This window comes from Homo sapiens, chromosome 21 (genome assembly GCF_000001405.40).
Source record: "Homo sapiens chromosome 21, GRCh38.p14 Primary Assembly".
Classification (NCBI taxonomy): Eukaryota; Metazoa; Chordata; class Mammalia; order Primates; family Hominidae; genus Homo; species Homo sapiens.
Genome location: NC_000021.9, coordinates 27,417,605 through 27,434,781, shown reverse-complemented (window position 1 = coordinate 27,434,781; position 17,177 = coordinate 27,417,605). Strand labels below are relative to the sequence as shown.

Sequence of the window (17,177 nt, the reverse complement as noted above, 5' to 3'; positions counted from 1 at the left end):
ACCGATCCCACAGAAATACGAACTATCATCAGAGAATACTATAAACACTTCTATGCAAATAAGCTAGAAAATCTAGAATAAATGGATAAATTCCTGGACACATACACTCTCCCAAGACTAAACCAGGAAGAAGTTGAATCCCTGAATGGACCAATAACAGGCTCTGAAATTGAGGCAATAATTAAAAGCTTACCAACCAAAAAAGAGTCCAGGACCAGACAGATTCACAGCCGAATTCTACCAGAGGTACAAAGAGGAGCTGATACCATTCCTTCTGAAACTATTCCAATCAATAGAAAAAGAGGGAATCCTCCCTAACTCATCTTATGAGGCCAGCATCATCCTGACACCAAAGCCTGAAAGAGACACAATTAAAAAAAGAGAATTTTGGACAAATATCCCTGATGAACATTGATGCAAAAATCCTCAGTCAAACACTAGCAAACCAAATCCAGCAGCACATCAAAAAGCTTAGCCACCACGATCAAGTGGGCTTAATCCCTAGGATGCAAGGCTAGTTCAACATATGCAAATCAATAAATGTAATCCACCATATAAACAGAACCAAAGACAAAAACCATATGATTATCTCCATAGATGCAGAAAAGGCCTTCACCAAAATTCAACAGCCTTCATGCTAAAAACTCTCAACAAACTAGGTATTGATGGAATGTATCTCTAAATAATAAGAGCTATTTATGACAAACCCACAGCCAATGTCTTACTGAATGGGCAAAACTTGGAAGCATTCCCTGTGAAAACTGGCATAAGACAGGGATGCCCTCTCTCACCACTCCTATTCAACATAGTGTTGGAAGTTCTGGCCAGGGCAATCAGGCAAGAGAAAGAAATAAAGGGTATTCAATTAGGAAATGAGGAAGTCAGATTGTCCTCTTTGCAGATGACATGATTATATATTTAGAAAACCCCACCGTCTCAGCCCAAAATCTCCTTAAGCTGATGAGCAACTTCAGCAAAGTCTCAGGATACAAAATTAAAGTGCAAAAATCACAAGCATTCCTATACACCAATAACAGACAAACAGAGGGCCAAATCATGAGTGAACTCCCATTCACAATTGCTACAAAGAGAATAAAATACCTAGGAATCCAACTTACAAGGGATGTGAAGGACCTCTTCAAGGAGAACTGCAAACCACTGCTCAACGAAATAAAAGAGGACACAAACAAATGGAAGAACATTCCATGCTCATGGATAGGAAGAATCAATATCGTGAAAATGGCCATACTGCCCAAGGTAATTTATAGATTCAATGCCATCCCCATCAAGCTACCAACGACTTTCTTCACAGAATTGGAAAAAACTACTTTAAAGTTCATGGGGAACCAAAAGAGAGTACGCATTGCCAAGACAATCCTAAGCCGAAAGAACAAAGCTGGAGGCATCATGCTACCTGACTTCAAACTATACTACAAGTCTGCAGTATCCAAAACAACATGGTACTGGTACCAAAACAGAGATATAGGCCAATGGAACAGAATAGAGCCCACAGAAATAATACCACACATCTACAACCATCTGATCTTTGACAAACCTGAGAAAAACAAGAAATGGGGAGAGGATTCCCTATTTAATAAATGGTGCTGGGAAAACTGGCTAGCCATGTGTAGAAAGCTGAAACTGGATCCCTTCCTTACACCTTATACAAAAATTAATTCAAGATGGATTAAAGACTTACATGTTAGACCTAAAACCATAAAAACCCTAGAAGGAAACCTAGGCAATATCATTCAGGACATAGGAGTGGGCAAGGACTTCATGACTAAAACACCAAAAGCAATGGCAACAAAAGCCAAAATTGACAAATGGGATCTAATTAAACTAAAGAGCTTCTGCACAGCAAAAGAAACTACCATCAGAGTGAACAGGCAACCTACAGAATGGGAGAAGATTTTTGCAGTCTCCCCATCTGACAAAGGCCTAATATCCAGAATCTACAAGGAACTTAAACAAATTTACAGGAAAAAATCAAACAACCCCATCAAAAAGTGAGCAAAGGATATGAACAGACACTTCTCAAAAGAAGACATTTATGCAGCCAACAGACACATGAAAAAATGCTCATCATCACTGGCCATCAGAGAAATGCAAATCAAAACCACAATGAGATACCATCTCACACCAGTTAGAATGGCGATCATTAAAAAGTCAGGAAACAACAGGTGCTGGAGAAACAGGAACACTTTTACAGTGTTGGTGGGAGTGTGAACTAGTTCAGCCATTGTGGAAGACACTGTGGCGATTCCTCAAGCATCTAGAACTAGAAATACCATTTGACCCAGCAATCCCATTACTGGGTATATACCCAAAGGATTATAAATCATGCTGCTATAAAGACACATGCACACGTATGTTTATTGCAGCTCTATTCACAATAGCAAAGACTTGGAACCAATCCACTATTGTGGCACTACTCACAACAGCAAAGACTTGGATCCAACCCAAATGTCCATCAATGATAGACTGGATTAAGAAAATGTGGCACATACACACCATGGAATACCATAGAGACATAAAAAATGATGAGTTCATGTCCTTTGTAGGGACATGGATGAAGCTGGAAACCATCCTTCTCAGCAAACTGTCACAGGAACGGAAGGCCAAACACTGCATGTTCTCATTCATAGGTGGGAATTGAACAATGGGAACACTTGGACACAGGGCAGGGAACATCACACACCTGTCGTGGGGTGGGGGGAGTGGGTAGGGATAGCATTAGGAGAAATACTTAATGTAAATGACGAGTTAATGGGTGCAGCACATCAACATGGCACATGTATACATGTGTAACAAACCTGCATGTTGTGTACATGTACCCTAGAACTTAAAATATAATAATAATAAAAAGAAGTACTTCCCTGTTCCTCAGACCCATTTTCCCTCCTCACTTGTTTCCTTTTATTCTTTACCTTTTCATCAGCTTAAGAACTTTACTCTTTTTTTTTTTTTTTGAGATGGAGTCTTGCTCTCTCGCCCAGGCTGGAGGGCAGTGGCGCTATCTCAGCTCGCTGCAAGCTCTGCCTCCTGGGTTCATGCCATTCTCCTGCCTCAGCCTCCTGAGTAGCTGGGACTATAGGCGCCCACCACCACACCCAGCTAATTTTTTTTTTTTTTTTTGTATTTTTAGTAGAGACGGGGTTTCACCGTGTTAGCCAGGATGGTCTCGATCTCCTGACCTCGTGATCCGCCCGCCTCAGCCTCCCAAAGTGCTGGGATTACAGGCGTGAGCCACCACGCCCAGCCAAGAACTTTACTCTTGCAATGACTCTTCTATCTCTTCCATAATTAGGTTTTTCTTTATCTTGGATCACTTCTAACAGCATACAGATACTCATTACTCTCTCCTCTATTAAAAATAGAAATAATACACAAAGCAAGAGCAACAACAACCAAAACCAAAAACAAACATTCCCTTGGTTCCACATTTCTCTCTGTCTATTACCTAACTCCCATTCTTGTAGCAAAAATCCTCAAAAAGAAATCAATATTTGACTGCCACCACTTCCATTTTATTTAAAGCCCCCAGCCAGGCTTTTACGTCCCTTATGCCACTGAAAATGTGATTGTCGAAATTTTCACAAACTTCTATCTTGTTAACCCCAAAACTCTTAGTCCCAATTCACTCCACTTCAATACAGTAGTTGTTAGCGTTTATCACTTCCTTCTTCTTGAAAACTTTTTGCATTAGATTTTCAGGAAATCTCAGCCTCTCAGCCTTTCTCCTATCTCACCTACTTCTCTCTCTTCATCTCCTTTGTGAGATTATCCTCCTTTTTCTGAGCCCAAAATGATGGAGGACCTCAGCACACAGAACTTAATCATTTTTATTCTCCATCTAAATACTCTCCTGAGTTAATCCTGTACAGTTTTATGGCTTTACAGATACCCAAATTTATGTTTTCAATCTAACAAATCGAAAACTCATAAATTCATCTGTCTAATCTCACTACTTCATAGATGCACTCATATATGTCTATTTTACATTTTAACTTTTAACCTTAGCCACTGATTCAAATCTCTTCAGGAGCCCAGATTCATCCCTATCCATGTGTGGCAACCTTGTGTTATTATACCATATCCCCTACGGTAGTTAAACAAGCTATAAGAAGAATCTGTTGCTTGCAACCAAAAAAGTCATAATTAATACAAATGGGAACTGTATGTTTCCATTCTGTGTGTTTGATTCTTGGAGAATTCTATTTTTCACTTCTCTTCAAGGCCCCCAGATTGGGTCCCTGGTTAACCCCTTCAATAATGGCACACATAATTGTATGTCTAGATTGCCTTCTTTAGAGTGGTTATTTAACAATTTTTCCTACAGCTTGTGCAAACATTGATTTACTTTATAGTGTGAACATTAAAATCATGTGAGTTGGTGTTCTGCACAAGCCAACTTCCTTCAAGCCTTTATTTTATTTTATTTGAGTTGTCTCCATTTTTTTTAGAACTGCATGCTGACCTAATTATAGAAATGTGACTCACAGGGGCAACGACAATCCAGCAGGTCTATACTTTTTCAACTATTTAGTGATTCTAAGAATTTCCTTTCATTTCTAATCACACCAGTGAGATTTTCTTGGCCTTGAGTCTATGAGAACTGGGAAAAATTTTGGCCACTGTAATGTCAGCACAATGCATTTTTTGTAAATCATTAAGCACTTTGAAATTCTTCCACATTAGAGTTAAAGAAGCTCTGTTCAGCATGAACTGTGCAAAGGGAATAAATATGGAGCAAGCTGGTGTGCATACTTTATTAGTCAGGATTCTCCAGAGAAACAGAACCAATAGGATATATATAGATATATAGAGGAGATTTATTATGGGAATTGGCTCACATGATTATGGAGGTCAAGAAGTTCCACGATCTACCATCTGCAAGTTGGAGAACCAGGAAAGCTGGTGAAGTAATTCAGTCAGAGTTCAAAGGCCTGAGAACCAGGGGAACTGATGGCATAATTCCCAGTCCAAGACTGAAGTCACGAATACTAGGAATGCTGTTAGCATAAGGCCTAGTGTCCAAAGGCTTGAGAACAAGGAGGAACTCAGCTGTTCAAGAGCAGGAGAAGATGGATGTCCCAGCTCAAGAAGAGATTTTCAATGATAATCTCATCCTCTCAAGGAGAGAGCTGGGACATCCATCTTCTCTGCCTTTTTGTTCTATTCTGGTGGACCCTGGATGGATTAGATGATGCCCTGCCCCCCTCTACCCCACCCTCCACAGCCACATTAGTGAGGGAAGATCTTTTTAACTCAGTCTACCTATTCAAATGCTAATCTCTTCTGGGAATATCCTCACAAACACACCCAGAAATAATATTTTACCAGTGATACGGGCATCCATTAATTCAGTCAAATTGACACATACGATTACCCATCACACACACTAAATATATATATACACACACACATATGTGTATATATATATGTGTGTTAAACAAGCTAATATATATATATATTTGTCGCCACATCCTTAGAGGGAAGAATGATAAAGTCAGATAATATGACTTCTACTTAACTGACTGGTACAAACCTACCTTTGAGTTAATCTGCTCTTGTATATTATTAGTACTTGCTTTATTTCTGGCTAGTTTTCACTGAAAAGGGAACTCTGTTTACCTTTTCTACATATTTGCATCCCTAAAGAGAACAATCTTCAATTTTACTATGTGGCATATCTTTAAAAAGACTTTTAGGACCATAAACTGAATGATAAGGGAAATCTCAACTCATACGTTGACTGTAAATATGCAGCCATTAAATTAGCACTATTGACTGCTGATTTATTTTTGACAAGTAATTTGTTAGATCTACCTAGAAAAATGAATGAATGTGAAAAGTAAGGGGAAATCAGAGGTCACTTGTAAAAAGTTTGAAAATATGGATTTTTCCTTTTTGTTTTTTTCCCTTGTCCCAGATTTCTTGGGGAGGATTAAAGGTCTCCTTCTGGAGTTGGGCCACAGGATGATATTCAACTGAGGGGCTCTGAGAGTGCACCTGACCTCACCTTTGGAAGGGTGGTTTGTATTCAAGCCCAAATCAACTCAACTCACAGTATTGACCCACGCTGGTTCCGTTTTTGACTCTAAAGTCTTCCTTCAGTTTACAATCTATTCACCAAAATTCTCTATCTGAAGCAGGGTAAACATGAATATCTTAGTCCATCTGTATTAACCATATGTAGCTATAATAAATCACCAAAAACAGAGTGATTTATAAATAGTAGAAATTTATTATTCACAGTTCTAGAGGCTGAGAAGTCCAAGATCAAGATGCTGGCAGGTTTGGTGTCTGGTGAGGCTCCGACTCTGCATGAACCAAAATATTTTGAAGAAAATTAAGACACAGAAACATAACACTGACAAATCATAGGCACTCAATGGGTATTTGCTGAATGAAGGAATGGATGGAATAATATAAATTGGTAGAAGATATAAAATATCCCTCATATTTCCTAAGTTATGTAATTGAAGATAAATAGAACCTGGCTTCATTCACGGGATTTGGTAGAAAGTACTCAGTTGTATAAAGTACCATACATATTAGGTGCAGTTTCCTGTAGTAAGTAATTACAAAGCACAAAATAGTGAGTGGGAGAAAATAGGATAAACAAAGATGGCTCTGTGATAAGAAATTTAAATTTAAATATGTTGAATTTAGCTTGAATCAACCACCCATTTACTAAGGCTGGAAAGCTGTGAAGCAAGATATTTAGTCACTAAAATAAAGATACAAAATTTAATTGTGCGGCCTGTCTTAAATGTTTACTTCTAATTCCTTGAGGTTTACTTTGTAACACGACCCAATATTTAGAGACAATCTTTTAAAATGGCACTCACATTATTATATATATGTATACATATATACAAACATCATACATACATGTATACATCATATATACGTTTACTTTTCGCATTTAATTCTAACTTTTTAATCAATAGTTAAAAGAAACTACAAGTTCCATTCAAAATGTGGTATAGATATAGATTCACAAAGAATACTACTCAGCCATAAAATGGAATGAAATCTTGTCTTTTGCATTAACATAGATGAACCTGTATGACATTAAGTGAAATAAGCCAGGCACAGAAAGAAAAGTACCACATGATCTTACGCATTTGTGGAATCTAAAAAAGCTGGTGTCACAGCAGTAGAGAGCAAAACCGTGGTTATCAGAGCCTGAGGAGTTGAGGCTAGGGGGAATATATATTTCTTGTGTATATTTTGTTGTTAATTCTATTTTGACTCTATTGTACTCAGAGAATATAAAGTTCAACTATTGATACTAAAAGGGCTATGGATTTTCTTCCATTATTATTATAGATTTGTGAGATACAACTTGAAAAACCTTTATTTCTGCTTTAGCATTTCTAAACTGTGTTGTTCAACTCATTGTTTTTTGTGCTACATGTAGCACAAATATATATTCTCTGAGTACAATAGAGTCAAAATAGAATTAACAACAAAATATACACAAGAAATGATAGAGATAAATAGTACTGATTTGGAAGACTGATGCTTGCATTGATGGATAGCTCGATGAATGAAGGGGTAAACAGATAGTTACAACCCCTACAATCTTTTTAAATAACACTCTTCCAATAAACTTGCAGTTGAAAAATAAGTATTATCACGGAAAGATTATTTAGAAATGAATACGTTGCCTTTCAAAATGTATGTGATATGACTAAGGTAGTTATTAAAATAAAATTAACCTTCAATATATTTATTAAAAAGCAAACAAAATTAAAAATAATTGAACTTAAGCATTTCACAAAAAAAAAGTTGTGAGACAGAAATTTTTTATAGGGGTTTAGATAGAGATGATGACAGACAATTAAGCTCAGGCTACCATGTTTCAAAAGAAGTCATTTTGTTAGATTCAATAAATGGTTATTACCATAATTTGTTAGAGAAATTTTAAATGGTAACCTAAATGTCCTGTAATGCCACATGCTAGTGCTAAACACACACACACACACACACACTTTTTTCCAGTGACATAAAATAAGGATGGCATGTTTACTTTCTGCTGTTTCATTTTGATATATTTTAATTTCCCTATTATCTGAATGTACTACTTCATGATTAGGGTTTTAGAGTAAGCCTATTTTGTATAAGCTAAGAATAAACTTTGTAGAAGAAAACTGAAATCCTGCTCTGGAAAATCTGACATAATTTTTAAAAAGAAGAGTTTGTCAGAGTACATTACTAATCTTAGATCTCCCCTCATTTACAGTTGCCAAGGCTTTTAAAGACAAGATAAAATTTCCTGATTAAATGAACATTCATCTCTGACTGAAACTGACTGAGGGAACATGAGATGAACTCAGGAACAGTATGTGCTCTATTGTCCACGGTCCCCCCACCAGAGCTATACACACATGTCAATTTATTTATAACAATGTAAATACCACATTCTAGCCAGAGGGTGTGATATGTCCAATTGGGCAAATGTTCAGTCATAGTCTAATAAGAAGATGGGGAGCTGGGTTTCAGAGGACCTCTGAGTATCTTTTTTGTTTCTTTAGGGAATGCATTATATTTACTCAAATAATTTTCTCTTTTACCTATAAGCAAGATTTGAAGAAAATAGATAAAAAATAAAATTTTCTCCTATTACCATGCAGGTTATTGCTCTTATTTTTTGTTTTCATTTTGTTTTGGTTGTTCTGCTTTATTTTTGCTTCTTGGATAGCACTTAATGTTTCCAAGGATCTCTTATTAAGCACATGAGAGTCAAATGGCTTTAGCAGAGAGGATGAACTGGATAACCATCAGCGCCATGCTTCAATTCAAAGCAGTTTCCTAGTGTTTTTCACCATAAATTTGAGAAAGTTCCATTTGAGAATCCTTTCCGTGTAAGCTGGTTGTGGTTTTTCAATGCCAGGGATGACAAAGGTGAAATTAATGCACCCAGCTGCTTCCCACGTGCTGGGCTTACAGAGGACAGTTTCCAACTTCCTTTGCCTGCTAGGCCCTCCCCTGTATCACTCCCTTCCATCTCCCCCTCTGAGAATGACAGCCCTGGCTTGGTCTCAGTGACCTGGGGTAACTGCCATGAAGCAACTTTTGATAAGAAACAGGATGTACAATGGTTCCTCTGAAATAAAATTGGATTAAAAGTGCACCCTCCCATGCCGTATGCCAGGCATAGCACTAGATGCAGACATCTGACTATATCATCAATTTTACAATTACCTGATGAAGTAAATACGACAACAAGAAATGAAACAAATCTTTGAAAGGATGAAGAAAATTCCTGTTATCAAATTACCAGCTGGGTAATTAGTGAGCTGCTGGTAGGGGAAAGAATTTTGAAGTCAGGTTTTTCTGACTCGGCATCTTATCTTTTTTCTTGCTCTTGAGGCCATGTTGCAGAGAAAGAGGGTGAGAGAGAGAAAGAGGATGCTGGAAAGTCTTAGGCTAAATAGTGCCCCCTTTCTGCCACACACACAGAAAAATCCATGACCAAATCCCTAGAACCTGTAAATAGCTGCTTATAGTACATGGCAAAAAAAAAAAGAAAAGAAAAGAAGAAAGGAAGAAAGAAAGAAAGAAAGAAAGAAAGGGAGGGAGGGGGAAGGAAGGAAGGAAGGAGGAAGGAAGGAAGGAGGAAGGAAGAAAGAAGGAAGGAAGGAAGAAAGGAAGGAAGGAAGAGGAAAGAAAGAAACCAACGAACAACAACAATAACAAAAAAATGATTGCAGATAAAATGTTAGGACACAGGCTTTAATATAGGGTAATTTTTAGGTTACAGACTTCAAAGTAGGGATTTTTTTTTTTTTTTTTTTTTAATTATCTGGAGAGACACAATCTGATCACATGAGCCCTTCAAAGCAGGGAATTTTCCCTGCCTGGTGTCAGAGAGATGTGGTGAAAGAGGAAGGCAGAAGGGGAAGTCACACAGCTTCCAAATATGAGAACCATTCAACTTCCACATGCCTCTGCTGGTTCTAGATAGGAGGTGGCCACAAACAAGGACTGGAAAGAGAATTCTAGGAAATACAACCAGTTCCCAGCTGACAGAGTACAAGGAGATGGGAACCTCATGCCTACAACCACAAGAAACTGAATTCTGTCAATAGCTTCATCCTTTCCCACTGTCTCTGGTAAGAAGCCCCACTCTTCTGATACCTCAATTTTAATCCAGAGAAACCGAGGCAGATTGGAGACGAAGCTCAGTTTCAAGTCACCTAGCGGAGTCTTTTATGCATTCTCACTGATCACAGAACTCACACCATTACCTCACTTACATCACCATTTAAACATGTCTTTACTTAAAGAATTCCAGGAACTGGCCTTAGGAGATAACCAAGGTTGCAGAGTGTCCCACCTCAGGAAGGAATGCAGCCTTGTTGCCACTGGCCAGACCACCAGATGGTTCATTACTCAACCATTGCAACCAGATAATGCTAGCCTGTGCTCTACCCTTTATGTGCTTTGTCCAGCCCAACTTGCATGTCAATTTCCATGCTTTGCCTAACAAAAAAGCCCTACAGCTCTTCTAGTGGAATTAGGGAATTCTCTCTCTTTCTCTCTTGCTGTCTCCCTTATGCCCTGGCACAAGCTCCAGTGAAGACTTGTCTGGGAAAACTCTTTTTGCCTCATATCAAAGAACCTGTTGCCAGTAATGAAATCAGTGTCAGACTTTGGACCTATGTATTTAAGGTGGTAAGTCTATAGTGATGTGTTATGTACAGCAGGACTAGAAAACTAATAAAGGCAGACAGTTGAACACAGATATGCACACGCTCACACACACATATTTTTTAACACTTCAAATTAAGGAATATTGATGCTTAATTGCGGTGGCAACTTGACCTTTGAGCTCCCAAAGCAGACAAATTAGGCACACCTAAATTGCAAGCCTAAATCTTAAAATGAACAAGTATCTTAAATATACCACTTAATATTCTGTATGTTCCCCATCTCTCTTCACTCATAAACACAAAGCAAGAGTAGGTACACAGTAAAAGAAGAAATTTGTACAATTTCTCCTCTTTTATTTATTTAAAGAGTTTTTAAGAGGAAACAAAATATATACAAATAAATAACTTGATAGTGACTTTTAAAACCATGGCACATAGCATCATTAAAAGCATCCTTGAAAGCCTTAACCACGGTGTCATGGTGTAAAATTATTTATGTGCATTTTTACCTCTTCTCCCTTGGGTATCATCTTCTCCTAATCTGGGAACATGGCACATGCAAAGAGCATTTTACCAGGAAAATCAAAGCTCTGAAAATGTGCAATGGAAAAGAAAACATCTTGGAATTGCTTTTATTTTAGTGCTGTGATAAAAAATTTTTTCCAGTCACCCTCATTGATGTTCAGATGATTGAATTAAGTTGAGACATTCTGGTCAGGAGGTGAAAACAACCATGGGTGTTATTGGCTCCCATCGGAAAGTTCACTGTCCCAACATTACATGATCCCTGAGTCAAGCCCAAAACATGCGCCACGCCGTCCCTGTAGCTCAGAGCTCACCAGCTGACCACAGCTGGAATTTGTAGGCCAGTAGAAAGCAGGGAAAAGGAGGTAGGCACTGAGCTGTTTTGTAGCCTGGAGGAGGCCTGCAGTTGCCAAGGATAATAGCATGGCAAACACTTTGCTACTGACAGCCTGGATTCAACTTTCTCACCATAATTCTGCCAAGCAAGGCTGGTAAAAGTTCAGAAAGCACTACTAGGAATAATTAAAGCAATGGAGGATTTATTTTGTATGGAGAGATTAAAGGAATTTTACATGTGTTATTTGGCTGTGCAAACATGAAATGGGAATACGAAAATTATCAACAAATATTTGGATGGTTTAAATTATTGGGAGGGAGATGTGAACGTTAAATAATAAGGCATGATATTGTGCCACCATGCACCCAACCTAAGAGAAATACATTTGAAAAAAAACCATTTCAGATGAAAACTTATATAAAAAGGTACAAAGATTAAACACTATATTCCCATATTAAGGAAAAGATTAAAGGATATCATCAGAGTTTTCCAAGTCTTAGTCAGTCCCTCTGAGATAGGTGGCAGGATGTAAACACAGTGCTGTTTTTTAGACAGAAAGACTCCGTGTGTGTGCCTATGAATGCACTTAGCATTGTATCATGGGGTAAGCCAGAATGTATTTTTTTTTAACTTTTATTTTGAGGTAAAGCTGATTCATTGTGTCCATAAGACACTCATAAAACACTCTTGCCATTTCCAGACAAGCTGAAAGCTGGTACAGCATTAGCAAGTTACTGCTGAGAAAGAGATCATGTGTCCCTCAGAAGTGTGTGCTCCATCAATTCCCCCCAAACTAGGTGGCAAAGCAGATTCATTTTTCTCCTAATCATCTTGCTCCAGTGCGAAGTTCCTCATCCTTAGTGGGGAGTAACAGATATGCTGATGTAAAAAACGAACAGGCCAGTCACAGTGGCTCACACCTGTAATCCCAGCACTTTGGGAGGCTGAGATGGGTGAACCAATTGAGGTCAAGGAGTTCAAGACCAGCCTGGCCAACATGGTGAAACCCCATCTCTACCGAAAAAATACGAAAATTAGCCAGGTGTGGTGGTGGGCGCCTGTAGTCCCAGCTATTCAGGAGGCTGAGACAGGAGAATCCCTTGAACCCAGGAGGTGGAGGCTGTAGTGAGCTGAAATTGTGCCACTGCACTCCAGCCTGGGGCATAGAGCAAGATTCTGTCTCAAAAAAAAAAAAAGTGTTTTATTTTCCTTACTTTCCTACAACTTCCTCAGCATATAAAAGAATACACACAGTAACACTGGAAAGCCGAACAGTAGAGGGTCCCCACGACAGAGCAAAATTGCATGAGCTGAGGTCCACAACCAAGTTTTTACCTCTTCCCTCTCCTCCCATGGGTACCATTCCACTGGTTACATCATAAGACACTAGGGAATATGGTTGTTGTTTCCTTGGGTAATCTGTTCTCAAGAACTTGCAAAACGGACCTCAGATTAGCATGCCACCCATCATTTAAAAGCCAAGAAAAACAATAGTTGGCTTCCAAGTAAAGACAGGAAGATAAGAAAGAAATCAATTTTAAAATTTCAGTTAGGAGCAATAAGTTCAGGACTCAGTGATCATACTTAACAGCAATGTACTATGTGCCAAAAGGGTAGATTTTAAGTGCTGTCACCACAAAAATGGTAAGTGTGTGAGGAAATGGAATATGATAATTAGCCTGATTCTGCCATTCCATAGTGTCTAGATATATACCCAAGATATATGTTGGATATATATTGTACATGTTGTACAGCATAAATATATACAATTCAGCCGGGCGTGGTGGCTCAGGCCTGTAACCCCAGCACTTTGGGAGGCCGAGGCGGGCAGATCACGAGGTCAGGAGATCGAGACCATCCTGGCTAACACAGTGAAACCTTCTCTCTACTAAAAATACGAAAAAAAAAAAGAAAATTAGCCTGGCTTGGTGGCAGGCACCTGTAGTCCCAGCTACTTGGGAGGCTGAGGCAGGAGAATGACGTGAACCCAGGAGGCGGAGCTTGCAGTGAGCCGAGATTGCGCCCCTGCATTCCAGCCTGGGCAACAGAGCAAGACTCCGTCTCAAAAAAAAAAAAAAAGAAAAAAAAATATGCATATAACACTTCTATTTGTCAATTAAACATAAAAAATAAAAATAAATTGAGGTAAAGTACATAAATTATTATATTAATAAGAATTCATGCTCTCTTTCCCTTGAGAGCACTACTGAAGATCCTGGTGTCGCCATGGGCCGCCGCCCCGCGGGTTGTTACCGGTATTGTAAGAACAAGCCGTACCCAAAGTCTCGCTTCTGCCAAGGTGTCCTTGATGTCAAGATTCGCATCTTTGACCTGGGGCGGAAGAAGGTAAAAGTGGATGAGTTTCCGCTTTATGGCCACATGGTGTCAGATGAATTTGAGCAGCTGTCCTCTGAAGCCCTGGAGGCTGCCCGAATTTGTGCCAATAAGTACATGGTAAAAAGCTGTGGCAAAGATGGCTTCCATATCCGGGTGTGGCTCCACTCCTTCCACGTCATCCGCATCAACAAGACGTTGTCCTGTGCTGGGGCTGACAGGCTCAAATAGGCATGCGAGGTGCCTTTGGAAAGCCCCAGGGCACTGTGGCCGGGGTTTGTATTGGCCAAGTTATCATGTCGATCCTCACCAAGCTGCAGAACAAGGAGCATGTGATTGACGCCCTACGCAGGGCCAAGTTCAAGTTCCCTGGCCGCCAGAAGATCCACATCTCAAAGAAGTGGGGCTTCACCAAATTCAATGCGAATGAATCTGAAGACATGGTGGCTGAGAAGCAGCTCATCCCAGATGGCTGTGGGGTCGCCTACATCCCTAGTCATGGCCCTCTGGACAAGTGGCAGGCCCCGCACTCATGAGGGCTTCCACTGTGCTTCCCCCTCTTAATACTCACCAATAAATCCTACTTCCTGTCCATCTAAAAAATAAAAATAAATAAATAAATAAATAGAATTCATGAAAATGTTTGTCCCTAGGCAACCTCAGTGCTTTAGATTGCTCTGAGATCCTACAGTTGAACACTAACTTGTTTAAACTTTATCTCATGCTGTATAGTATATGTCCTACTCACATTATAGACTAGGAGGCTCTGGCCTACACATCGAGCATCTAAGAGTGTTAGGTTACATCTAGTGTGGTGTTAACCCACGGGATCCCATGTTCTTCATCAATGTACTGCCATTTTGCTGAAGAGAAAGAATATGCAATCAATAAACTATGGACTACTTCAAGCAATGAAAATATGCATGAGCCATTAAATACAGCACTTTCCTTAAAACTTAAAATGACCAGTGAATTGTGTTTGTCAAGAAAGGAAATTTTGATAAATGGAAAATTGACCTCATAACAATATTTCCAGTTATTTATTTATTTATTTATTTATTTATTTTTGTGTTTGATAAAGTTGCTGTGAACTCAAAACATTTTTGAGGACATTTCTTCCAATACTTCCTTTTGTATCGAAAGAGGGAAAGAGAAAGAGAGAAAGAACATTTGAAAACTTCAGAAAGTGGAAACTGACAGCCACCTCTCTACAGAAAGGTAAAGGAATGAACCCTTTGGAAAGTTCATTCAACATGGCAATGATGGATTAGTATGTGTTCATGTTATTAACATATTAGAGATGGCCTCACACTTCATAACTTAATATCTATATTATTCAGAGTCACCTTTCCTGCTACTTTTTCTCACTAACCAACAAATACACTATGCTTCATTTATTTATTTTAAATATTTTAAAGTATTTAAATGAATGCACTATGCTTTATTTGTTTAGATTGTATTTATTTTACTGTGTGGCTCACTACACAGATCCTCATGACCTGCAATCTCTGGTGCTAAGCTTACACTGTGTTTATTTTTTCTCCCCATCGACTTCTTTGTCTATGCAGTTTTCCTGTTATTATACGTGGGTAGTTTGAAAACTATCCAAGTCTTTTCCAAAGCCAGTTAATTGTCTTGTTTCAACACCAGAAATACATCTTGTGATGTGATCAGAATTTCACTATTATCAAAATATTCTTATCCGTGACAGAGAAAAATGGGACACCTTACAAAATCTCCAGTTCCTCTGTAATATGAACTCTAATACACTGCTGCTCAATGTCTCTTTTACCCCACAAAGTTATTAATCTCCTTATGGGCAGCAAACTAACTTTCCTTTTACACCCAGGTTTTACCTGGCCCACAGTTTGTCAATTGCTTCTTTTTAAAAGATTTGAAAACTACCATATACTTTCTGAAATATACATTTTTGTAGTTTTTTATTTTAAAATTACATTTGAAATATTAAACTGAAAAGGTACTTCTATTAAAATATTTCTCTAACTCCTTTTCTCTTTTGATACTTAACTTTGATTTTGTTGTTCATTTCATCCATAAGTGTTTTGTCTTTCATAGAATATATATGTTATTGTACTTCTTAAATGACCCATTCACTACCGCCTTTGACAATTTTGAATGTTATATATTTATACATGTGAGTCATGAGAATTATTATAGCTTACTATGTAAAATACAAATAATCAAACTAAAGCTTTTCAAATAAAAATATAATTCTGATATTAGAACTCATTTCCGTCATATACTAAAACTTCTGGGAAAAGAAAAAGCTGAGTACATCATTATTGCAGCACACTTACATTTTTTTCAAAGCTCTTTCTTAGAAGACATGCCAAAGATGTTTTGGATTAAAGCTTTATAAGCATTTATGAGGGCTGGGTCATTTTAGGGAAGCTTAAAAAGCAGTGAACTTCAGCATGTTTGCTGAACTTGGACAAGCCACTTAACCAATTTGGATATCCATTGGTAAATCCATTTGGCTATCCTTGGTAAAATAGAGCTGGGACTTCTGGCCCTTTTTGAAATCTATTATTATAAAATAAATGAATAGATGCACTCAGTTATTAAAAGAAGGCCTTTTACTTTGACGAGTACTTAAATATATAGTATTAGTTTCAGTGGGAAATATGCCAATACCATTACTATCCTTCAACATTAACCAAAATAACAAATAATCATTGAATTATAAATATTTATATAGAAAGTGAATGAAGTTTAATGGCTTCTTAAAAGAAGGCATACTGCTACTTCAAGTAAAGTCTAATCTAAAATCCCACCCAAAGCAAACTACAAATATAACCATGATCTATTGAGTAATTCTAGAGAACTAGGAGCTCTATCATTTAACATTAATATAGGTTGAGAAAACAGAAAAGGGTAAATAAGTTTCTTTATCAAATTCCATTTGAAAAGTAATTTTAGTGGCTGTTAATTTTACTATTAAGTGCAAAAATTTCATAATACTTAAAATCAGCTCCACACATTTTGAAATATAATCACAATATCCCAGGTTTAGGAAAACAACCATTCACAATATCTTAGGACCACAGTTAAATACAAATATAAGCCATCTCATTGCCAAGCACTTTATTTTATACTTTATAGCATGTTTTCTTATCATGAAACAGTCAACATCTGTTGCCCAGGGGGCTCTGGGCTCCACAGTCAGTACGTAAGAACATTATGCTAGATTTTTGTAGTAGCCATCAGGTTTTTGCACCTCCCATGCAAATTATGTTTTCATTATTATAGTTCATGTTTAACTATCTATTTCCAGTTACATCAAATGCTTC

General features: G+C 38.0%; 1 long non-coding RNA gene and 1 pseudogene across 2 annotated transcripts in view; both read left to right on the top strand.

Moving 5' to 3' along the window:
- Positions 1-17,177, top strand: part of LOC105372762 (uncharacterized) — a 54,823-nt gene that overhangs the window by 13,859 nt on the left and 23,787 nt on the right. Inside the window, exon 2 of one of the 2 annotated variants that reach the window (XR_001754990.2) lies at positions 5,936-6,758. The exons of the other annotated variant lie outside the window; for it this stretch is intronic. This is a non-coding gene — a long non-coding RNA (uncharacterized LOC105372762). Of the gene's footprint in view, positions 1-5,935; positions 6,759-17,177 lie in introns of those variants that run through there. 2 annotated transcript variants of the gene reach the window in all.
- RPL10P1 (ribosomal protein L10 pseudogene 1) lies at positions 13,718-14,464 on the top strand (annotated as a pseudogene).